Source organism: Homo sapiens, chromosome 7, assembly GCF_000001405.40.
Source record: "Homo sapiens chromosome 7, GRCh38.p14 Primary Assembly".
In the NCBI taxonomy this organism is placed as follows: domain Eukaryota; kingdom Metazoa; phylum Chordata; class Mammalia; order Primates; family Hominidae; genus Homo; species Homo sapiens.
Window position 1 is genome coordinate 156,836,967 of NC_000007.14, and position 25,952 is coordinate 156,862,918.

Below are 25,952 nucleotides of genomic sequence, written 5' to 3' on the forward strand. Positions count from 1 at the left end.
TAGGAAAAAAGGATTTAAACTACTAAAAAGTTAAAATGCTGGACATTTTACTCATTAAAGTTTTAATAAAACATAGGCTGGGCATGGTGGCTCACACCTGTAACCCCAGCACCTTGGGAGGCCAAGGCGGGTGGATCATCTGAGGTCAGGAGTTTGAGACCAGCCTGGCCAACATGATGAAACCCTGTCTCTACTAAAAAATACAAAAAAAAAAAATATTAGCAGGGCATGGTGGCGGTGCACCTGCAATCCCAGCTACTCGAGATGCTGAGGCAGGAGAATCTCTTCAACGCAGGAGGCGGAGGTTGCAATGAACCAAGATCACACCATCGCACTCTAGCCTGGGCAACAAGAGTGAGACTCCATCTCAAAAAAAAAAAAAAAAGTGTTAATAAAATATTAATTTATATGAACTAGTCAATTAGCCCCATTTAATACCATTTGAAAAAAAAAAAAAGCCCAATGGAGACTTTTCTTTCCGTAACTTGATCCAATGTTTTTCAAAATCATGTGGAAATGTGAAGAATCAGACCATCACCACTGACAACTCTGAAAAATAAAGTCAACTGGAAACTACTAACACAACCAAATATTAAAACATTATCAAAAGCTTCAATTCATTTAAAGAATGTGCCAGCACCAAAAATTGACAGATACATTAAACATTTTCCACTATATAAAAATTTAACATACAAATGGAATCACAAATCAATGTAGGTGGGAAATAATTATTCAATAGATATACCCCATATCAAAATAAAAGGCAGTTGAAGAAAAGACTTCTTTAAGATATCATTAAATTCTGTATTTTTAATTTTGCTTTTTTTTTTTTTTTTCTGAGACAGGATCTCACTCTGTTGCTCAGGCAGGAGTACAGTGGCACAATATTGGCTCATTGCAACCTCCGCCTCCCAGATTCAAGCGATTCTCCCATCTCAGCCTGCCGAGTAACTGGGAATACAGGTAGGCAACACCATGCCTGGCTAATTCTTGTATTTTTTGGCAAAGATGGGGTTTTACCATGTTGGCCAGGCTGGTCTCGAACTCCTGACCTCAAGTGATCTGCCCACTTGAGCCTCCCAAACTGCTGGGATTACAGGCATGGGCCACTGCAACCAGCCTAATTTTGCTTTTTTAATTGACAAATAGAAGTTATACATATTTACTGTGTACAAAATGTTTTAAAATAAGATACATTGTGGAATGGCTCAATCAAGCTAATTAGCATACTCATTACCTCAAATATTTATAATTTTTTGTGATGAGAACACTTAAAATCTACTTAGTGATTTTCAAAATATAATACATTGTTATTTATTATAGTCTTCATGTTATACAATAGATTTTGAACTTATTCCTCCTACCTAACTGAAATTTTGTACCCTTTGACCAACATCTCTCCAAGCCCCCACCCCTAGTCCCTGGCAACCATCATTCTACTCACTGTTTCCAAAAGTTCAACATTTTTAAATTTCACATCTAAGTGAGATCATGAAGTATTTGTCTTTCTGTGTCTGGCTTATTTTACTTAACATAATTAATGTCTTCCAGGTTCATCCATCTTGCTGCAAAGGACAAGATTCTTTCTTTTTTACAGCTGAATAGTATTCCCTTGTGTATATACACTACATTTTCTTGATCCACTCATCTGCTGGCAGACACTTAGGTTGATTCAACAACTTCACTATTGTGAACAGTGCTGTCATGAACATGGGAGGGCAGGTATCTCTTCAACACATTGATTTCATTTCTTTTGGATATATACCCAGCAGAAGTACTGCTGGGTCATATGGCAGCTCTATTTTTAATTTTTTGAGGAATCCCCACACTGTTTTTTATAACGGCCATACTAATTTGCATTCCCACCAACAATGTACAAGGGTTCCCTTCTCGCCACATCTTCATCAACCCTTGTTATCTTTTGTGTTTTTGATTACAGCCACCCTAACAGATGTGAGGTGATAGGTCATGGTGGTTTTGACTTATATGTCCCTGATGATTAGTGATGTTGAACACATTTTCATATACCTATTGGCCATCTGTATGTCTTCTTTTGAGAAATATCTATTCTAGTCCTTTGCTTTTTTTTTTTTTTTTTTTTGGACAGAGTTTCACTCTTGTTGTTCAGACTGGAGTGCAATGGCGCGATCTTGGCTCATTGCAACCTCCACCTCCCAGGTTCAAGTGATTCTCCTGCCTCAGCCTCCCAAGTGGCTGGGACTACAGGCTCACACCACCACACCTGGCTAATTTTGTATTTTTAGTAGAGACGGGGTTTCACCATGTTGGTCAGGCTGGTCTCGAACTCCTGACCACAGGTGATCCACCTGTGTCAGCCTCCTAAAGTGCTGGGATTACAGGTGTGAGCCACTGTGCCCAGCCGCCCATTTTTTAATCAGGTTAATTGTTTAATTTCAATTGAATTTCTATCAGATCTGGGGAATGCCAGACCGACAAAAAAGGATGGGTCAACAGGAGATCTCGTTACAGTCAAAGACTGTGTGCTAGAAATAAAGGTTTGCCACAGCTTGTTGTGGAACATGGAAAAAAAAATTGAAGACTCTCAAATGAAACCATTCTGAGTGATGATGAAGTCTAGAGAATATCCCTTGTGTGTATTTCTGAAGAAGTACTGGTGGCCATATGACTGAGAACAACTTTGGACCAGGATAGTGGACATTCCCTGCACATCATCATGTAGGAATGACAAACGGAGAATGAAGAAGACTACTAGCTGTGTGCCAAAGCTCTCCCAATACACAAGGGAGAGAAACAGAAGACAGTACTGACAGCAACCAAAAGGACCAAAGGGCATCAAAGATTCCCTGCCACTGGAAGCCACGTACCTGTTGGGAACACTGGCTAGACAAGAAAATGTCAACAGCATCGCTACCTTCTCCCAAAATTATCTGGAGTGTAGAAGATGGGCCAAAGAGGAAAACCAGCTCTTGGAGAAGAAATGTAAATGGAGAGGTCTTCTAAGAAGTTGAGAATAAGGGGAAATTGTTTACAATGGAATGAAGTCTGAGTAAGGCTACAAGAGCAATGGAGAGAAGACAGAAACACAGTGAATCATGAGGTTAAAGTCAGAGAGATTCGATGACCAAGGGAATTAATATTTAGGACAGAGGCTGATTTAAATTCATTCACATTTTATTCATTCAAATAAAAACAATTTTTACTGTGGGCTTGCTATATACCAGGCACTCTTCTAGGAACTGGGACATAGCAGTGAACAAAGTTATAGCCCTCATGGAGCTTACAGTACACTGCGAGAAAAAGACAATAAATAAATATAAAGTGTGTCGTATGATAATTATGCAACGTTAGAGGAACAGGAAGTGCCAGCAGGGGTGGGGGCATGTCTCACTAATAAGGTGACATCTGAGGAAAGAGTTGTGGGACAAGAAGGGCCAAGACATGCAGAAATCTAGAGGAACGGGGGAGGATTTGAGGCAGAGAGAACAGTAGTGCCAAGGGTCGGAGGCAATAATGGCTCTGGTGTGCTCAAACAATGAGTGGGCAGAAGTAAGAGACAAGGTCAGAAAATAATGGGAGCCCACTATTCGGGTCACGCAAGACTCAGGTACTGTGTGTCGGTTTTTACCCTGAGTGAGACAGAATTCCACTGTAGGATTCTGAGTAGAGGGTGATAGGATCTGACACAGTGCAAAAGGCTCACTATAAGTGCTATGCAGAAAATAAACTGGAGGCCGGGCGCGGTGGCTCACTCCTGTAATCCCAGCACTTTGGGAGGCCGAGGCGGGTGGATCACGAGGTCAGGAGATCGAGACCATCCTGACTAACATGGTGAAACCCCGTCTCTACTAAAAATACAAAAAAAAAAAATTAGCCGGGCGTCGTGGCGGGCGTCTGTAGTCCTAGCTACTCGGGGGGCTGAGGCAGGAGAATGGCGTGAACCTGGGAGGCAGAGGTTGCAATGAGCCGAGATCGTGCCACTGCACTCCAGCCTGGGCGACTGAGCAAGACTCGGTCTCAAAAAAAAAAAAAAAAAAAAGAAAAAGAAAAGAAACTGGAAAAGGGCCAGGACAGAGGCAAGGAGAGCAGGCAACAAAGAACTGCAGGAAGCCGAGAGCAGCCACTCGGACCTGTGCAAGGAGGTGCTCAGAAGACATGGAATTCTGGGCACGTTTTGAAAGCAGACATGATAAGATTTGCTAGAATAAATATAAGGTTCTTTGCCTGAGAAACTGGAAAGACAGAGTTGCCATTTCAGGACTCAGGAAAGATTAGAAGAGGAGTAGTTTTGAGGGAGAAATAAGTATAGCTTAACACTGTTGAATCTGACATACATATAATTCACTCAGGTCAAGAGGCTGGATGGGCAGTTGGATAAAAATCTGTACCATTCAGAAGAAAGGGCCAGGCCATAAATTTTTTAAAACCTTAGAATCATCTGCAGATGATATTTAAAGTCCTGAGACTAGACGAGATTTCCATCCCAGGGAGTAAGTATAGCCAGAGAAGAGAAGTCTGAGAATAGAGACCTAGAGCTCTCAAATATTTAGAAATCAGCTTGGCAGAAGGATTCACAAAAGCTGACTGAGAAGCAGCAGTCAGCAAGGGAGGAGGCAAACCAAGAGACTAGATGTCTTGAAAGCCACATGAAGAAAGTTTATTTAGGAAAATGGAATCATCGACAGTGTCAAACACTGCTGACAGGCCAAGAAAGATGAGGACTGGGAATTAACAGCTGGATTTAGCACCATGGAGGTCACTGGTGACCTTGACAAGAGTTATCTTGATGGAGTAGTGGAGGTAAAACCCTGAGGCAGATTAAGAAAGAAGAATAGTTGGAAACAGAAATGCAAGTACACAGAACTTTCCAGGAGTTTGATTATAAAGAGGAGCAAAGAAAATGTGAAGGGATTGTGACGTGTTTTTTTAAAAAATGAAAAGCATTACAAATGATTATATGAATAATCCAGTAGAGAGAAAAATTATTGATGCAAGAGAAAAAAGAAGCAATTGCTGAAGTTATGTGCTCAAGTTGTGGGAGTGATATAAAATGTATCCATAAATAAAAAGGAGGAGAACAAGGAGGAGACAGAATATTTCAGTTCAGTTGCAGGTAGTTACGTGTGGTGAAAGCAGAAAGACATGACTACATTTTTTGATGGCATCTATTTCCTCAGTGCAACAGAAGCAAGTTCATCAAATCAGATACATACGGAGAGTGAGGGAAGAAGTGCTGCAGGGTAATAAGGAATCAGAGAGACCGATGGGGTTGAGGAGTAATTATTTAATTATTTAGGTGCCCCAACCCAGTCAGATTAACATCTAAAGGACTGAGGCCCGAACAAAGAGTCAAGCTACCTTTTAAGCATTTTGTGGGGCGGGGGGAGATTTGTACAGGGGGAAGCGTATTATAGAAGTGAGAAACAAAGACAGTTATTTAATTAAGATGTGCGTTATATTATTTTTTACTTTTTAAGGAATAACACGTTTTAAGACTTGAGATTATCTGTTGAGTGACCTTGCAGCTGCGCAGCTAGAGAAACAGTGTCTGTACAATGCCTGGGAAAGGGAGAGATAAGGCTCACTAGCCTCAGAAAGAAAAACAGGCAGTTAATTTTAAAGAACTCCAGCCCTTTCTCTTCCTCAAGGGGAACTGGGTTTTTGACATACAACTGAGTTTTTGCTTACACAGTTTTTAATTTCTTTTAATTCCTATTCCAGAAGGAGTATGTAAATCATATGGGAGAACAAATGGAGCAAATATAATAGAAATAAGAGTCAAGGTAAGATTAAATGGCCTTTAAAGTTCCAGGCAAGTCCAAGCTAAAACCCTCAGCAGTGCTGGCAGCCTGGTGGTGCTGTAAAACATGAGAGCCAGATTCCTAGATGCTGAGGCAGATGCAGGTAGAGTCCCCAAGAAATACTAGAAGCTTGATGATTCTAACAGATATCCTAGCTCTCTCCTCCCCTTTCCAGCCAAGCGCTTCAAAATAATAGCCTGTGCTTGCAGACTTCTACCTTTCACCACTCACTCCTTCCAGCCACTCATCAAACTTCACACTCATCGACCAACTCAAAGTGGTCAGTAAACCTAACAGGAAAATTACACTTCATGATTTTTGCTGAGCTCTATGCAGCAACTTCTGTCAGCAGTCTTCCTCCCTCTCTGTTGTTCTCCCAGTCTCCCTCACAAGCTTCCCTTTTCCTGCCAGCCTTTAAACAATCTTCTCTGTAATTTCTGGGATGAGCACCCATCTATTCTTACTCCACAAGCTCTTCATAGGTAACATCAAATACTCCCAGGATTTCAACATCAATCCCAAGGAAGCCCCTGACCACAGTGTGAGAAGCACTGGTTTAGGGTATTAGCAAGAGTGAGTGAAGTGACTGGCCATGATACCAAAGTAGATTAGGAGAAAACTGAAACTAAGGGTAGGCTGATGGACAGGAGAAACAAAGACTTCAATCACCTAATGTTCACGGTACAGAAGTAGCTGCAACGAAAGCACTTGACCAAGGAAGCTGCAAGAATAGAATGTTTTGATCAAAGGATGTTTCTGAATTTTTTAAAAATTATGTTTAAAGGTGAAACACAATCATTTCATAAAATCCAGGGAAGGCTGGGTGCAGTGGCTCCCGTCTGTAATTCCAGTACTTTGGGAGGCTAACGCAGTTGGATCACTTGAGGTCAGGAGTTCAACACCAGCCTGGCCAACATGACGAAACCCGGAAACACAAAAATTAGCCAGGTGTGGTGGCACACGCCTGTAATCCCAGCTACTCAGGAGGCTGAGGCACGAGAATAGCTTGAACCTGGGAGATGGAGGTTGTCATGAGCCAAGATGGGGCCACTGCACTCCAGCCTGGGCAACAGAGCAAGACCCTGTCTCAAAAAAAAAAAAAAAAGAAAGAAAAGATTCAGGGATTTAGTGCACAAGTGGTAGATGAGAAAGCATGAAAATGGAGAAAAGGAAAACAAGTAACCAAAATGCATTGGATAAGACTAATGGAAAATAATACATTTAAGAGTACAAGTAAGGCTAATAATTTAAAAACAAATGTAAGTATTATTATTGAAATAAAAGTCATACATTAGGGCCAGGCATGGTGGCTCACACCGGTAATCCCAGTACTTTTGGGAGGCCGAGGTGGGTGGATCACCTGAGGTCAAAAGTTCAAGACCAGCCTGGCCAACATGGAGAAACCCCGTCTCTACAAAAAATACAAAAATTAGCCAGGATGGTGGTACACGCCTGTAATACTAGCTACTCAGGAGGGTGAGGCAGGAGAATCGCTTGAACCCGGGAGAAGCAGGTTGCAGTGACCCAAGATCACGCCACTGCACTCCAGCCTGGGTGACAGAACAAGACTCCGTCTCACACAAAAAAAAGCTACACACTATGAAAATAAGAATACAACTATAACAGACCAAAACAAAAATCACAGAACTCATTAGACTGTGTTTCTAGTTTCAAAAGTAGGACGAGGAGTAGGTTCTACTCTAAAGTTGTAAGTCTCTTCCAGAGACAGAGTCAGAGGGATGAGTGAAATAAAAGAAAGCTATAATGATGCCTATTCTCCCTTTGTCCAGGATGAAAGGAAATTCCTAACCAAAAAAAAGAAAAAAACAGTCCAGCTTCTCATCACTAAAAGTGAAGTACACCTGAATGAAAAAAAAAAAAAAAAAGATGGGCTCTATTCTGGCATCTTGTGATACTGTGAACAAATTGAGCTTTGCTCCTGGTCAGGGAAGGAACAGCCATGCCCTATTTCAGAGCTCACAGCAAAATACCCACTGGGATGCATGTCCTACTGTGCTAGCTAGCCCAGAAAGAAGGCAACGCAGCCCTGGAAGAAGGAGGCAGCATGGCTTTAGTCCTGATGCTGCTGATCAAGAATGGCTAGGCACTTGAGAGGTGACACAGTCATAAGTAACTGAATAGTACCTTTAATATACATTGTTAAAAACTAATATTCTTAAATTTGAGGAATCACACCTGAATCTAAATTCAGACTGGTGCGTTATAATCAAATTGTACCACCCAGCCTTTCATTTAAGGCCTATCGGCTTCAACTAATTTCAAGTGAAGAATAAGTATCATAAAAGAGTGATGAGTACAAAGTGGGTTCAAGGACTGCTATCACCAACACATTTCTAACAAAACCCATGATGGATATACCAATTGCCCTGATTATTTGAATGTATCAAATTATCATGTGTACCCCAAGAATATATACATCTAATATGTATCAATAAAAAATTAAAAATAACAAAATCCTGAGAGAGAAAGCAAGTGAACTATTTTTAAACCAATAATCTTATATTCCATAGCAGAGAGGTCACAGATAATGCAGCCTGGGCAATGGAGCAAGATTCCGTCTCCAAATAAATAAATAATAAGCTACCCACTAAAATAATTAAAATTAAAAATACACTTCTTTGAAATTACCCTAACAACAAGAAAAATAAAATAGAAAAATCCAGACTATGTAGTAAAAGACAGGAAGACAAAAATAGTTATGAAGATAATAATGTAATAAAGATGAGACATATTTAAATCAATAATAGTAAACGGGAAAAACTATTAAAAGAAAACACTGATAGAATGATACATATCTTAAAACAAAGTGACTCAGAAGGGTTGAAAATCACAAAATAAACAGAGACATACCAGACTGATGGTAACAAAAAAGAAAGATGGGTTGAAATTTTTTTTTTTAAGAGACAGGGTTTTGCTCTGTCACCTAGGCTGAAGCGCAGTGGCACAATCACAGTTTACTGCAGCCTTGAACTCCTGGGCTCAAGTGATCCCCCACTTCCATTCGCCATGTAGCTGAGATTACAGGTGTGAACGACTGTGCCCAATTCAATTTATTCTTCTCTCAGACAAGGCTGAATTTAAGGCAAAAGTGTGAAGTAAGACAAAGTAGGGCACTTAAGGAAGAATGGTGTAAACCACAATGGGAAAAGAACTGTCATGAATCTTCATGTACCAAAAAGCACAGTACCAAAATACCTCAGAAAAAAAAAAACAAAACAGGAACAGTGGCTCACACCTATAATCCTAGCTACTCAAGAGGCTGAGGCAGGAAGATCACTTGAGACCAAAAGTGATCACTTAACGACACCCTGGGCAACCTAGAGAGACCCCATCTCTGCAAAAATAATTTACAATTTTTTAAAAATTAGCCGGCATGAACATGTAGTGCCAGCTACTCAGGAGGCTTAGGCAGGAGGATGTCACTCAAGCTCAGGAGTTCAAGGCTGCAGTGCACAGCTATTGCTCATGCCACTGCACTCCAGCCTGGATGACAGATAGAAACCCTGTCTTTTAAAAAAACAAACAAACAACAACAACAAAAACAAAGATGCCAAATATGCAAAGATAAATCATGCCATAATCATGCCACTACACTCCAGCCTGGCAACAGAGTGAGACCCTGTCTCATTAATTAATTTAATGTAAATAAATACATAAATGTAAAACACTATTTATATTAGCATTCCACCAAAGCAAAATACTTAACTATAAATCTATCAAAATATGTACAGAATCTGTATAAGAAAGCTATAAAACTCTGAAAGAAATCAAAGAACTTAATTAGTGGAGAGAGATTGCATGTTCATGTATAGGAAGACTCAATATTGTCAAGATGTCGGTTCTTCCCAACTTCATCTATACATTCAGTGCGATTACAATTACAATCCCAGCAAGTTATTTTGTAGATATCAACAAACTGATTCTAAATTTTACATGGAGAAGCAAAAGATCCAGAATAGTCAACACAATATTGAAGGAAAAAAACAAAGTCATCTATTACATAGTAGGGTGGCTATAGCTAATAACAATGTATTGTATAGTTCAAGACAGCTAGAAACGAGTATCTTGAAAGTTATCACCACAAAGAAATGATAAGAGTTTGAGGTAATGGACATGCTAACTGCCCCTTTTTGATCATTACACAATGTACACATACATGCACTGAAACATCACACTATACCCCATAAACATACAATTATGCATATAAACAAAATTAATTTTAAAAAGAAGAAAGAGGACTGACACTACCCAGTTTCAAAACATTATAAGGCTACAATAATTAAGACAGCATGACATTGATGGAAAAACACAGACAAATATAAATATAGATCCACAGAAAAGACAGCCCAGAAATATACCCACATAAATACGATCAACTGATCTTTGACAAAAAGAGCAAAGGCTATATAATGAAGAAAGGATCACCTTTTCAACAAATGGTGCTGAAACAACTGGACATCCACATGCATAAAAATGAATCTAGACATAGACCTTATACACTTCACAACAATTAACTCAAAATGGATGATGATTACAAACCTAAATGCAAAACACAAAACTGTGAGACTCCTAGAAGATAACAAAGGAGAAAATCTAGATGGCCTTGGGTTTGGGGATTGCTTTTTAGATACAGCACCAAAGGCATGATCCATGAAAGAAAGAATTGATAAGCTAGACTTTACTAAAACTTAAAACTTGTGCTCTGCAACAGACACTGTCAAGGGAATGAAAAGAGAATCACAGGCTGGGAGAAAATATTTGCAAAAGACTCCTCTGATAAAGGACTACTATGCAAAACATATAAAGAGCTCTGAAAGTTCAACCACAAGAAAACAAACAGTCCTATTGAAAAATGGCCAAAGACCTCATGAGTGAAGATACGCAGATAGCAAATAAGCACACAAAAAGATGCTCCACATCAACACAAAGTAAAACAACAAGATACCTGTGATGACACACCTATTAGAATGACTAAAATCCAGAATACGAACACCACCAAATGCTGGTGAGGATGTGGGGCAACAAGAACTCTCATTAATTGCTAGTGGGAATACAAAATGGCACAGCCACTTTGGAAGATAACTTGGCAGTTTCTTACAAAACTAAAAACACTCTTACCATATGATTCAGCAATCCCGTTAGATTTGGTATTTACCCAAAAAAGTTGAAAACTATCCACACAAGAACTTGCACAGGAATGTTTATAGCAGCTCTTTTCATAATTGCCAAAACTTGGAAGGAATCAAGATATCCTTCAATAGGTAAATAACTAAAATGTAGAAGATCATTCAACACTAAAAAAAAAAAAATGCAAAAGATGGAGTAAAGACTTAAATGTAAAACCTAAAACTATAGAACTCTGGAAGAAAACCTAGGAAATACCATTCTGGACACAGGCCCTGACAAAGACTTCATGACAAAGACACTAAAAGCAACTGCAACAAAAACAAAAATTGACAAATGGGAATCTAATTAAACTAAACAGCTTCTGTACAACTAAAGAAATATCAACCGTAAATGACAACCTACAGAATAGGAGAAAACATTTGCAAACTATGCATCTGACAAAGGTCTAATAAAAGCAACCCCACTAAAAAGTGGGCACAGGACAAGAAAAGACACTTTTCAAAAGAAGACATACATGCAGCCAACAAGCATATGAAAAAATGCTCAGCATTATTAATCATTAGAGAAATGCAAATCAAAATCACATCTCACACCAAGTCAGAGTGGCTATTATTAAAAAGTCAAAAAATAACAGATGCTGGTGAGGTTGCAGAGAAAAGGGAATGCTTATAAACTGGCTAGTGGAACTGTCAATTAGTTCAGTCACTGTGGAAAGCAGTGTGGCAATTTCTCAAACCATTTAAAAGAGAAATACTGGCTGGGCATGGTGACTCACCCCTGTAATCCCAGCACTTTGGGAGGCCAAGGTGGGTGGATCACTTGAAGTCAGGAGTTCTAGAACAACCTGGGATCATGGTGAAACCCCGTCTCTACTAAAAATACAAAGATTAGCTGGCTGTGGTGGCAGGAGCCTGTGGTCCCAGCTACTAGGGAAGCTCAAGTACAAGAATCACTTGAACCTGGGAGGCGGAGGCTGCAGTGAGCAGAGATCGTACCATGACACCGCAGCCTGGGCGACAAAGCAAGACTCTGTCTCAAAAAAAAAAAAAAAAGCAAAACAAAACAAAACAAAAACAGTACTACCATTTGACCCAGCAATCCAATTATTGGCTACAGACCCGAAGGAATATAAATCATTCTACCGTAAAGACACATACATGCATTATATTCTTCAGAGCACTATTCACAATAGCAAAGACATGGAATCAACCTAAATGACCATCAACAGTAGAATGGATAAAGAAAATGTGGTATGTACATACCATGGAATAGTATGCAGCCATAAAAGTGAATGAGATCATGTCCTTTGCAGCGACATGGATGGAGCTGGAGCTAGAGACCATTATCCTAAGTGAACTAACACAAGAACAGGAAACCAAATACCACATGTTCTCATTTATAAGAGGGGGCTAAATACTGAGAACACATGGACATAGGGAACAAGAGACATCAGGGTCTACTTGAGGATGGGAGGGAGAGGATGGAAAAACTACCAATCAGGTACTACGTTTCTTATCTGGGTGACAAAATAATCTGTACACCAAACCCCTGTGAAACATAGTAACAAACCTGTACATGTGCCCCTGAACCTAAATAAAAGTTAAAAATTAAAAGAGCTGTCAAAGCAATGAAAAGTCATGGAGGAAACTTAAATGCTTGCTGCTAAGTGAAAGAAGTCAATTTGAAATGGCAACATTTGTATGATTCCAACTATATTCCGGAAAAGGCAAAACAAAACTGTGGAGACACTAAAAGCATCAGTTGTTTGTTGCCAGGGGTTGAGGGGAGGAAGGAATGAACAGGCAGAGCTTAGAGAACTTTTAAGGACAGTGAAACTATTCTGTATGATTCTATAAGGTTAGATACATGTTCTTATAAAATTTTCCAAACCCATGGAATGTACACCACCAGAGTGAACACTAATGTAAACTATGGAATCTAAGTCATGATGTTCAACCCAAGGTCATCAACCATAACAAATTTTCCACTCTGGTGGGGGATGCTGATAATGGCCAAGGCTATGCATGTGTGGAGCCAAGGGATATATGGAAAAATCTCATTACCTTCACCCAATTTTGCTGTGAACCTAAAATTTCTCTAAAAAATAAAGTCTAATTTTAAAAAGTAATACGATTGCATTAGTGCTATGGTTTGTGTGTTTCCCAAAGTTCATGTATTTGAAACTTAATTCCCAATGCAACAGTGTTGAGGTGGGGCTTCAAAAGTGATCAGGTCATGAGGATTCTATCCTCATAAACTGACTAATGTTATCACAGGAGTGGGTTAGTTACGGTGAGAGCAGGTTTGTTATAAAAGCAAGTCTGGCCCCCTTCTTGCCCTTCTGCCTTCCACCATGGGATGATACAACACAAAGGCCCTTGCCAGATGCCAGCCCCTTGATCTTGGGCTTCCCAGCCTCCAGAATCATACACCAAATAAATTTCTGTTCATTATATATTATCCAGCCTGTGGTATTCTGTTTCAGTAGCACAAAACAGACTAAGACAGCTAGTAACAAATGTGTTTATTAAATTCAATGTCCTATATTCCTCCCACCCTGCTTAGACTCTTGTAACCACCAATCTACTTTCTGTTTTTATGTATTTGCCTATTCTGGGTATTTCATATAAATAAAATCATACAGTATGTGCCTTTTTGTGTCTGGCTTCTTTCACTTAGCGTAATGTTTTCAAGGTTCATCCATGCTGTAGCATGTAACAATAGTTCTTTCCTCCAGACATTTTATGAGAAAAACCTCTGTTTCATTAAAAACACATTGGGTATATTTTTGCTTGCAGCTGAAAGCATTCCTTTCAAATACAATTGTATACCCACACAAGGATGTATATATAAAGATGTTCACTTTTCTATTGTTTGTAATTGCAACAAATCACCCTTTGAAATGGTTTGGATGTGTGTCCCCTCAGAATTTCATGTTGAAGCGTGATCCCCACTGTTGGAGGTGAACCCTGGTGGAAGTGTTTGGATCATGGAGGCAGATCCCTCATGAATGGCTTGGTGCCCTCCCCTTGGTGATGAGTAAGTTCTATTAGTTCACACAGGATCTGGTTGTTTAAGGACTTTGGCACCTCCTTTCTCTCTCTTTATCCATTCCCTCTTGCTCCCTCTCGCCATATGACACCCGCCACTTCACCTTCTGTCATGATTGGAAGCTTTCTGAGGTCTTCAACAGAAGCAGATGCCGGCAATATGCTTCTCAAAGAGCCTGCAGAACTGTGTGCCAAAATAACTATCTTTTCCTTATAAATTACTCAGTCTCAGGTATTCCTTTACAGCAACGCAAAATGAACTAACACACCCTTCAAAACAGAGAAGTAAACAAAATTACCAATGCCCTATCTTCAGAACAATTAATTTGAATACAATACACATGCTGATACCTACTCTTCTCATAGTTGCTAAACTGTCATAATAAATTGCCCTGTGTCTTTCAACTTGTGCTTCAATAAAGGCAAAGCAATGCTTCCTCACAGAAAACACTAAGACCCTTAGCAAGGGGTAAATATTCACTTTTTCAAGATTATCACAGCATATTTCAAGTTCATTAATGTCATCAATAATATTATACTTTAATACAACATGCTGTGAAATATTTTAGGCCCAGTAACAAGAATGGACGACTATACACCAGATTACTCTTCCTACTGGTTTCTTGAGGAGATGGTAAAGTTGGGGGGCTGGGGAGTGAGGAGAGAAGAGGGTAGAAATAAGTCATGATTGTAAGCCAAAAACAATGGAGAGAGAAAAAGTAAAGATACTCGCACATAAAAACAGTAAACACATAGTGACTAATGTAAAATTATTTAAGTCGTATAGATATACATAGAGGTATGAAACAATGTGCTTATTTCAGAATGGTGGAATTTCAGATTATTTTTACCCTTTTACCTTCTTCCTTAGATCTATGAAAAAATTAAAGTTTTAACAATAAGGACTTTTATTTACACAGGATGAAAGTACTATTTTCAAAATGAACACAATAAAATTTATTCTAATAACCTTTCAGGAAAGCAATATGATGGCCTATGTATGCACTCTGATTCAATACTGTTATTCCTGGGAATTTATATTACAATAAAGAAACATTCCTCCACTTTTAGATAATTAGGTTACCATTACTACTACTAGCAACAAGAATCACAATAATAGCTGCCACTTGAGACTTTAAGAACACACCTCTAGGAACAAAGTAATATAACAAGTAATAAAGATTTCGGTCCAGGTCTCAAAAGGGTAACCAAGAGAATAACAAATAATAATATAACAATAAACACCAGAGGAAATGGGAAAAACAAAGTAGTGTGAATACTCACTACTGTAGTGTAAATCCTATCAGAAAGCTAGTAGTTAAATCCTCAGTGTCTGTATTGGGAAGTCAATATACGTGTTCAATGTTGGTAAGCCAACAAATATTACCAAGCATTACAGAAATCACTTAGAAAAACTAAAAAAAAATAAGAGATTGCTTATGGAAAATACTTGGATAGGAGCCTTATTCTTCTTAAGGTTTCCTGTACTATCTGATGGATAGCATGTTTCTATACTATCTGATGCATGCATTAGATTTAAAAAATTATAGGCTTCTACACCCCTGACACAATAATTTTCAAGTAATCCTTTAGAGATCTATCTATGATTCTCACTTGGAGTTTTACGTTATTTGGAAAAGTAACACCAAATAAAATCTTTACATTATTGCCTTTTGCTAAACAGGGTTGAGACCTATGATTCTCAACTGAGGGTGACAATGTCCCCCCCAGGAGACATGTTGCAATGTCTGGGGACAGTTTAGTTGTCACAACCAGGTGAATCGTGCTACTAGCATCTGGGGTCAGAGAACAGAGATGCTGTTAAAATCCCATGATGCACAGAACAGACCCGAACAATAAAGAACAATCTGTCCAGAATGTCAACAGTGCCAACGTTGAGAAACTCTGTTTTAGATTAACTGCCAAAAAAGTACAGAAGATAAGCACAGAAGTAATTACATATACAACATAACTTGAACAGTAAATTACAAATAATGCTTTTTTTTTTTTTTGAGACAGAGTCTCAATCTGTCGCCCAGGCTGGAGTGCAGTGGCCCGATCTCAGCTCATTGCAAGCTCTGCCTCCCAGGTTCAGGCCATTTTCCCGCCTCGGCCTCCCAAGTAGCTGGGACTACAGGCACCCGTCACCACACCCGGCTAATTTTTTGTATTTTTAGTAGAGACGGGATTTCACTGTGTTAGCCAGGATGGTCTCGATCTCCTGACCTCATGATCTGCCCGCCTTGGCCTCCCAAAGTGCTGGAATTACAGGCGTGAGCCACCGCACCCGGCCGAATAATGCTTCATTTTTTATTGTAAGTTGCCACAGTAGAAAATGTTAATACTAATTTCACTAATATATTGTAATAAGCACATTCCTTTCTCTTTTAAAAAAAAATGGGTCACATAAAGAAATATTAGCCAGATTAAGGGACAGATCATTCCAAACTACTTAATGTTAAAAGAAAAAAAAAAGCACTATCCCTTATGATCTCACACCCTGTGCTTTAGAAAGAAAAACATTTACACTAATTTTTGTCATGCCATCCAAAACTGTATTTAAAATTAAAAGTAAAATAGAACCACTTTCTAAAAGTCCTAGAATAACTTCTCTGGATTAAATCTATGCAGAAACTGGGTATCAAATGAAGATTCTCAAGCAGCTGCCAAATGATGAACCCAAAGGAAGTCACCACATAGAATAAAGCTTTTGTTTGTTTTTGTTTTTTGAGACAAAGTGTCATCCTGTCACTGAGACTGGAGTGCAGTGGCGTGATCTCAGCTCACTGCAACCTCCACTTCCTGGGTTCAAGGAATTCTCCCGCCTCAGCCTCCCAAGTAGCTGGGATTACAGGCACCTGCCACCACACCCGGCTAATTTTTGTATTTTTGGTAGAGATGGGGCTTCATCATGTTGGCCAGGCTGGTCCCGAACTCCTACCTCAGGTGATCCACCCACCTCAGCCTCCTAAAATGCTGGGATTACAGGCATGTGCCATCGTGCCTGGCCCACATAGAATAAAATTAAAAAAAAAAAAAAAACCACCTATATACATCATATGCCATACACTAAAAGCAATCTTCAAGTAAATCAGACATAAAGGTAAAAGATAACATAGTGGCTTCTGGCTTCCAGTCCAACATGAAAGGAGCTTGGAAGTCATCTTTCCCATCCTCGTAACAAGAAAAAAACTGAACAAACTGAAAGTCAACAACTCTTCTTAAATCCATAAAAGAAGTTAAATTACAGGGCAAACTACTGCTCTAAAAAGTGGAGAGACAAAAGCCCTTGTACAGAAGCCTGCTGCTAGAGCCAGCACTGGTAAAACACTTCAACTGTAATTGATGAATTACTAGAGGATCAGTGTGGACTAACTAGAGAGAGAAAAACTCCAGAAGTCTAGTCTCAGGGGGGACTCCCACACTTTTTTAAAGTTTTTCCTTCAGGAGTCCTACCAGATTCTCAGAGTAAAGATTAGGGAAACTGTTAATTAAAAAATAATAATAAAAAAATAAAATCCCTTCAAGCTTCCAGCAGGAAAAGGAAAACGTAAACATTCTGAAATATGCCCAGGGCATGCTGTTCACCTCAAGAAAGGCCCGTCTGCAAGAGAAACCATTTGTACCCACAGCTTAACCTATTTGAATTTTATCAGAGCCTAATCAACCTGGAAGAAGAGAGACACCCAGCTTCAGCCCCCTCTAGCCTTCTTCACCTAAGGAAGGAGGTCAAAAGCCGAGTAGCACCTGTGAAGGTCACAGACCGGGGCATAGGCTCCATAAAAGACTGAGACCTAATCACAAGACTACAAAATGTTCCCCTCAATCAGGCTGGAGTATAATAACAGGAGATTACAGCTAAAAGAACTGCAAGGCTCAAATTCTATTTAAGAAGTAGTCTCTAGGGGAAACCAAAGACAACAGAAGAGATAAAAACAAGAACACTAGGGGAAATTATACCCTCTGAAACCTGTAGCTACTTCAAACAGTAAGCAGCCTAACTCACACATACATAAACATAAAATCTAACAGTAAAGGCCAAATTACCTCAATCCCTTTTATCTACATCGTATCCGGCTTCCCACAAAATACGAAGCATGCTCAAATGCAAAAATCACAATCTAAAGAGTCAAAGAGTCAGAACCAGACTCACATATGACAGAGATTTGGGGATTATGAGAGTCTGAATTTAATTATTAATATGCAAAGGTGGAAAAGTAAACAACATTCAAAAATATGTGTGTAATGTCAGCAAAGACATGGAAATGTTAAGAATAATTTTTTTAAATGGGAGAAATCAAATATACTGTAACAGAAATGAAGAATGCTTTAATGAGCTCATCAGTAGACTAGACACCTGTGAAGGTCACAGACCAGAGGCATAGGCTCAATAAAAGACTGAGACCTAATCACAAGACTACACAATGTTCCCCTCTCCCCATCTCTTAACACCATAGCAATTAGTCAATTAGAAGATATGTCAATGGAAACTTCCCAAGCTGAAAAGCAAACAGAAAAAATAACAATTCTGAAAAGAAACAGAATAGCCAAGAAGTACAGAACAATTACAAAAGGCATAACATACGTAACAGGAATACCAGAAAAAAAGACAGAAAGCAACAGATAAAATATTTCAAGTGATAATGGCTGATAATTTGCCAAAATTAATACAAACACCTAACAGATCCAGAAAGCTCACAGACCAACAAACAACGTAAATACAAAAAAAAAAAAAAAAAAAAACCTATGTCTAGGCATATCATATGCTGCAAGCTGCAGAAAATCAAAGATAAAGAGAATATCTTGAAATAAGCTACAGGAATAAAAATGCCTTACAAATAGAGGATCAAAGATTAGAATTGCATCAGACTTCTCTTCAGAAACCATGCAAGCAAAAAGAAAGCTGTAAAATATTTCAAATGTTAAAAGGAAAAAACGAAAAATGAAAACACCAACCCAAAGTTCTGTATCCAGCAAAATTATCTTTCAAAAATAAAGGAGAGCACTTTGGGAGGCCGAGGCGGGCAGATCACGAGGTCAGGAGATCAAGACCATCCTGGCTAACAAGGTGAAACCCTGTCTCTACTAAAAATACAAAAAATTAGCCGGGTGTGGTGGCGGGTGCCTGTAGTCCCAGCAACTCAGGAGGCTGAGGCAGGAGAATGGCGTGAACCTGGGAGGCGGAGCTTGCAGTGAGCCGAGATCGCACCACTGCACTCCAGCCAGGGCGACAGAGCAAGACTCTGTCTCAATAAATAAATAAATATAGACAGATAGGTAGATAGATAGATAGATAGATAGAATTTGTCAGACAAAAGAAAACTGAAGGAATTTGTTGCCAATAGACTTAATTAGCAAGAATTTTTTTTCTTTTTTTGTTTTTACTGGAGGCACAGGTGGCTTAGCAAGAAATTTTAAAAGATCTTCATAAAAGAACATGACCACAGGACAGAAATTCAAATCTATGTAAAGAAAGATCATTAGGCCAGTGTCATGAACGGTGGCTGGGCTCATGGCTGTAATCCCAGCACTGTGGGAGGCCAAGGTGGGTGGATCACTTGGGCCCAGGAGATTGAAACCAGCCAGGCCAACATCGAGAAACCCCATCTCTACTAAAAATACAAAAATTGGTTGGGCATGGTGGCATGTGCCTGTAATCTCAGCTACTCAGGAGACTTGAGGCACAAGAACTGCCTGAATCTGAGAGGCAGAGGTCACACCACTGCACTCCAGCCTAGGCGACAGAGTGAGACTCCATCTCAAACAAAAAAAAAAAGAAAAGAAAGATCATTAGAGAAGGAGTAAGTGAAGGTAAAATAAAGTCTTTTATTTTCTTTTTCTTAATCTAACAGACAACAATTTATTGAAAGTAATAATAACAATAATGTATTTGGTGATAACAGCCTCTAGATAAGTGAAATGAATGACAGCAAGAGGGGAACTAGGAATATTCTCTCATAATGTACCTGCACTACTCATGAAGCAATACAATGTTATGTGAAAGTGAAGGTAGATTACTTGCAAATGTAAATTGCAAACTCAAGGGCAACCACTGAAAATATTTTGAAAGAAGTATAATTGATATGCTAAGAGAGGAAAGAAAACAGACTCATAAAATGCTCAGCTAGAACCAAAGACAGAAAAAAAGACCAAAAAAACCACCAAGAACAAGGACAATAGAAAATAGTTAAAACTATGGTAAATATTAAACCAATAATATCAATGATCACTTTAATATGAATGGTCTAAATATACCAATTAAAAGAGACAGAGTGGATAAAAAATACTTAACTATATGTTGTCTATAAAAAAGTATTTTAAGACAGATTAAAAGTACAGTGACAGAGAAAGACAAACCATGTTAACAATAATCAAGAGAACGGCAGCTATATTAATTTCAGGCAAGGCAGACTTCAGAGCAAAGAAAATTATCAGGACAAAGAACAGCAATACATAGTAATAAGGGGTCAATTTTCCAAGAAGAACTAACAAAATGTCAAAATACGTGAGGTGAAAATGGACAAAAATGTAAACAGAAATAGATGAATCTACTATTATAGTTGGAGACTGCAACATCCTTCTATCAGTAATTGGCAGATGCAGCAGGCAGAAAATCAGTAAGGGTACATAGTTGAACTGAACGGCATCATCTATCAACTGGATCTAATTGACATTTATAGAATATTTCATCCAACAATAGCACAATATGCATTCTTCTCAAGCTCACGTGAAAACACTCACTAAGACATATCATATTCTGGTTCATAAAGAATACCTTAACAAATTTAAAACAATATAATTCCTAACAACTATGCTCTCAGATCACAATAGAATTAAACTATAAATCAGTAACTGAAATATAGCTGGAAAACTTCTTGGAGATTAAACAAAAAGCCTCTAAATAACACATCATCAAAGAAGTCTCAAAACAAATTTTAAAATATTTTGAACTAAATGAAAATGAAAATAAATCTTATGAAAATGTGTGAGATGCAGCAAAAGCAGCGCTTAGAGGGAAATGTATAGCACTGAATTGCTACATTACAGAAGAAGAAATATCTAAATTGAATAAGCTTCTACACCTTAGGAAACTAGAAAAAAAAAGAGCAAAGTAATTCCAAAGTAAGCAAAAAAAAAAAAAAAAAGTTTAAAAAAAGCACAAATTAATGAAAACAGGAAATCAATTTTAAAATTCACAAAATCAAAAGCTGGTTCATCAAAAAGTGCAATAAAATTGATAAACCTCTAGCCAGGCCAACCAAGTAGAAAAAGAACACAAATTACTAACACATGAAAATGAAAAAGGGGCCATTACTCCTGTTTCCACAGACACCAAAAAAAAATTACAGGAATATTATGAACTCCGTGCCCACAAATTTGAAAACTTAGATGAATAAATACCTTCAAAGACATAATCTACCAAAACTTCCAAGTCAAACAAATCATATTACTAGTTCTATGTCTATTAAAGAAACCGAATCAACAATTATCTTCCAAGCACCAGTCCCAGATAGTTTCACTTTTGAATTCTACCAAATTTAAGGAAGATGTGATACAATTCTCCAAAATATCTTACAGATAACAGAAGCAGAGGGAATGCTTTCTAACACACTATATGAGGTCAACATTACCCTAATACCAAAATGAAATAAAGGCATTGAAATAAAGGAAAACTACAGACAAATCTCTCTCATGAGCACACATGCAAAGTTCCTCAACAAAATATCAGCAAACTGAATCCAACAGTATATAAAAAGAATTATATACCACAACCAAGTGGGAATTATCTAGTTATGCAAACCTGATTCAACATTCAAAAATCAATTAATACAATCCATCACACCAACAGGCTAAAGATGAAACATAACCTATCAATAGATGCAGGAAAATCATCTGACAAAAATCCAACAGCCATTCATGATCAAGATTCTCAGAAACCTGTGAATAAAAAAAAAATTCTCAACTTGATAAAGAATGTCTACAAAAACCCCACAGCTAACATCATACTTAATGATTAAAAAAACTAGGGCTGGGCACGGTGGCTCAGACCTGTAATCCCAGCACTTTGGGAGGCCGAGGCAGGCAGATCACCTGAGGTCAGGAGTTTGAGACCAGCCTGATCAACATAAAGAAACTCTGTCTCTACTAAAAATACAAAATTAGCCAGGTGTGGTGGCGCATGCCTGTAATCCCAGCTACTCACTAAGGCAGGAGAATTGCTTGAATCCAGGAGGTGGAGGTTGCAGTGAGCCGAGATTGCGCCATTGCAGTCCAGCCTGGGCAACAAAAGTGAAACTCCGTCTCAAAAAAAAAAAAAAACACTAGAATCTTTCTCCCAAGACTGGAATCAAGGCAAAGATATCTCCTCTCAACACTCCTATTCCGTATCATACTGGAAGTCCTAGCTAATACAGTAAGACAAGAAAAGGAAATAAAAGGCATACATATTTGGAAGAAAGAAATAAAACTCTCTTTGTTCTCTGATGACATGATTGTTTATGTAGAAAATCCTAATGAATCAACAAAAATTCCTGGCACTAATAAGCAAGGATGCAGGATAAAAAGTTAATGTTCAAAAATAAATTGCTTTCCTATATACCAGCAATTAACAACTGGAATTTGAAATAAAAAAAAAAACCACCATTTACATTAGCAGCCCCAAAAAAGAATTACTTGGATATAAAACTACAAAACTCTGATTTTAAAAATATCTAAATTAATGGAGAGGTATTCCACATTCACAGAAGGAAGATTTGCTGTTGTTAACACGTCAGTTCTACCCAATCTACTCTACAGATTCACACAACCCCAATCAAAATCCCAGTAAATTATTTTCTGGATATCAAGAAAATAATTCTAAAATTATACTGAAAGGCAAAAGACCTAGAATAGGTGACACAATACTGAAGAAAAACAAATTGGAGGACTGACATTACCTGACTTCAGGAGACTTATAGGCCTACAATAATCAAGACTATGATTTTGGTGAAAGAATAGAAAAAGATCAATGGAACAGAATAGAGAGTTGATAAATAAACCCACACAATATGGACAACTGATCTTTGTCAAAGAAGCAATGAAGAAAGAATAGTCTATTCAACAAACGGTGCTATAACAACTGGACATCCACGTACAACAAAATGAATCAAGACATAGACCCTATGGCGTTCCCAAAATTAACTCAAAATAGATTGTATTAGTCTGTTTTCACACTGCCGATAAAGACATATCAGAAACTGGCAATTTACAAAAAAGGTTTAATGAACTTACACTTCCACGTGGCTGGGGAGGCCTCACAATCATGGCGGAAGGCAAGGAGGAGCAAGTCACATCTTACATGGATGGCAACAGGCAAAGAGAAGAGTTTGTGCAGGGGAACTCTTCTTTATAAAACCATCAGATCTCATGAGACTTATTCACTATCACAAGAACAGCACGGGAAAGACCCGCCTCGTGATTCAATTACCTCCCACTGGGTCCCTCCCATGACGTGAGAATTGTGGGAGCTACAATTCAAGATGAGATTTGGTAGGGGACACAGCCAAACCAAATCATTCCACCCCAGCCCCTCCCAAATCTAATGTCCTCATATTTCAAAACCAATCATGCCTCCCCAACAGTCCCCCAAAATCTTAACTCATTTCAGCATTAACTCAAAAGTCCATGGTCCAAAGTCTCATTTGAGACAAGGCAAGTCCCTTCTGCCTATGAGCCTGTAAAATCAAAAGCAAGTTAGTTTCTTCCTAGACACAATGAGGGTACAAGCATTGGGTAAACACAGCCATTCTAAATGGGAGAAACTGGACAAAACAAAGGGGCTACAGGCCCCATGCAGTCTGAAATCCAGTGGGGCAGTCAAATCTTAAAGCTCCAAAATGGTCTCCTTTGACACCATGTCTCACATCCAGGTCACACTGATGCAAAAGGTGGGCTCCTACAGCCTTGGGCAGCTCCGCCCCTGTGGCGGAGGATAGCCTTCTGTCTGCTTTCACCAGCTAGCATTGAGTGTCTGCAGCTTTTTCAGGCGCATGGTGCAAGCTGTCAGTGGACGTACCATTCTGGGGTCTGGAGGATGGTGGCCCTCTTCTCACAGCTCCACTAGGTGGTGTCCCAGTAGTAACTCTGTGTGGTGGCTCCAACCCCACATTTCCCTTCTGCACTGCCCTAGCGGAGGTTCTCCATGAGGGCCCAGCCCCTGAAGCAAACTTCTGCCTGGGCATCCATGCATTTCCATACATACATCCTCTGAAATCTAGGTGGAAATTCCTAAACCTCAATTCTTGACTTCTGTGCACCCGCAGGCTAAACACCATGTTGAAGCTGCCAAGGCTTGGGGCTTGAACCTTCTGAAGCAACAGACCCAGCTGTTGTTTGGCCCCTTTTAGTCACAGCTGGAACAGCTGGGACTCAAGGCACCAAGTCCTGAGGCTGCACAGAGCAGGGGGGCCCTGGGCCCTGCCTATGAAACCATTTTTTCATCCTAAACCTCCCAGCCTATAATGGGAGGGGCTGCCACAAAGGTCTCTGACATGCCTTGGAGACATTTTCCCCCTTGTCTTGGGGATTATCATTCAGCTCCTCATTACTTATGCAAATTTCTGCAGCCAGCTTGAATTTCTCCTCAGAAAATGGGGTTTTCTTTTCTATCTCATTGTCAGGCTGCGAATTTTCCAAACTTCTATGCTCTGTTTTCCTTTTACAACTGAATGCCTTTAACAGCACCCAAGTTACCTCTGGAATGCTTTGCTGCTTAGAAATTTCTTCCACCAGATACCCTAAATCATCTCTCTCAAGTTCAAAGTTCAACAAATCTTTAGGGTGGGGCAAAATGTCACCAATCTCTTTTCTAAAACATAACAAGAGTCACCTTTGCTCCACTTCCCAACAAGTTTCTCCTCTCCATCTGAGACCACCTCTGCCTGGATTCCACTGTCCATATCATTATCTGCATTTTTGTCAAAGCCACTCAACAAGTCTCTAGGGAGATCCAAACTTTTCCACATTTTCCTGTCTTCTTCTGAGCCCTCCAAACTGTTCCAACCACTCTCTGTTCCCCAGTTCCAAAGTCACTTCCACATTTTTGGGTATCTTCAACAGTGTCTCATTCTCCTGGTATGAATTTACTGTATTAGCCTGTTTCCACGCTGCTGATAAAGACATACCAGAAACTGGGCAATTTACAAAAGAAAGAGTTTTAATGGACTTACAGTTCCACATGGCTGGAGAGGCCTCACAATCATGGTGGACAGCAAGAAGGAGCAAGTCACATCTTACATGGATGGCAGCAGGCAAAGAGAGAAGTTTGTGCAGGGGAACTCTTCTTTATAAAACCATCAGATCTCATGAGACTTATTCACTATCACAAGAACAGCAGGGGAAAGACCTACCTCCATGATTCAATTACCTCCCAGTGGGTCCCTCCCACGACACATGAGAATTGTAGGAGCTACAATTCAAGATGAGATTTGGTGGGGGACACAGCCAAACGATATTGTGGATCATACACCTAAATGTAAAATATAAAACTATAAATCCTCTAGAAAATAACATAGAAAAAAAAAAAAACTAAGTGAACTTGGGTTTGGCAATGACTATTTAGATACAATATGAAAAGCATGATCCATGAAAGAAAAAGTGATAAACTGGACTTCATTATAATTTAAAACTTCGCTCTGCAAAAGACACTGTTAAGGGAATGAAAGGACAAGCCACAGACTAGTGGGAAATTTCTGTAAAAAGTGTATCTGATAGAAGACTTGCATCCAAAACACAAAGAACTCTCCCTACATAATGTGGTTGGGCCTCATCCAATCAGTGGAAGGCCTGAATAAAGCAAAAAGACTTAGTAATAGGGAATTTCTTCTGTCTGACAGCCTTCAAGCTGATACATCAGTTTTTTCCTGCCTTTGGACTCATATTCAAACATCAGCTCTTCCGGGGCCTTGAGACTGTTGGACTAGGAATGAAACTACAC

General features: G+C 39.1%; 1 protein-coding gene across 28 annotated transcripts in view, besides 1 other annotated feature; it reads right to left on the reverse strand.

Annotated features, from left to right (window-relative positions):
• Positions 1-25,952, reverse strand: part of LMBR1 (limb development membrane protein 1) — a 224,172-nt gene that overhangs the window by 167,955 nt on the left and 30,265 nt on the right. The gene's annotated exons all lie outside the window — the stretch shown is intronic.
• Positions 17,688-17,921: a silencer, noted in NCBI's record as "fragment chr7:156647348-156647581 (GRCh37/hg19 assembly coordinates)". NCBI's record gives its function as "represses an EF-1alpha promoter that drives an FKBP-Casp9 reporter gene in an ReSE screen in HepG2 liver carcinoma cells {active_cell/tissue: HepG2}" and the evidence as "EXISTENCE:reporter gene assay evidence [ECO:0000049][PMID:32094911]".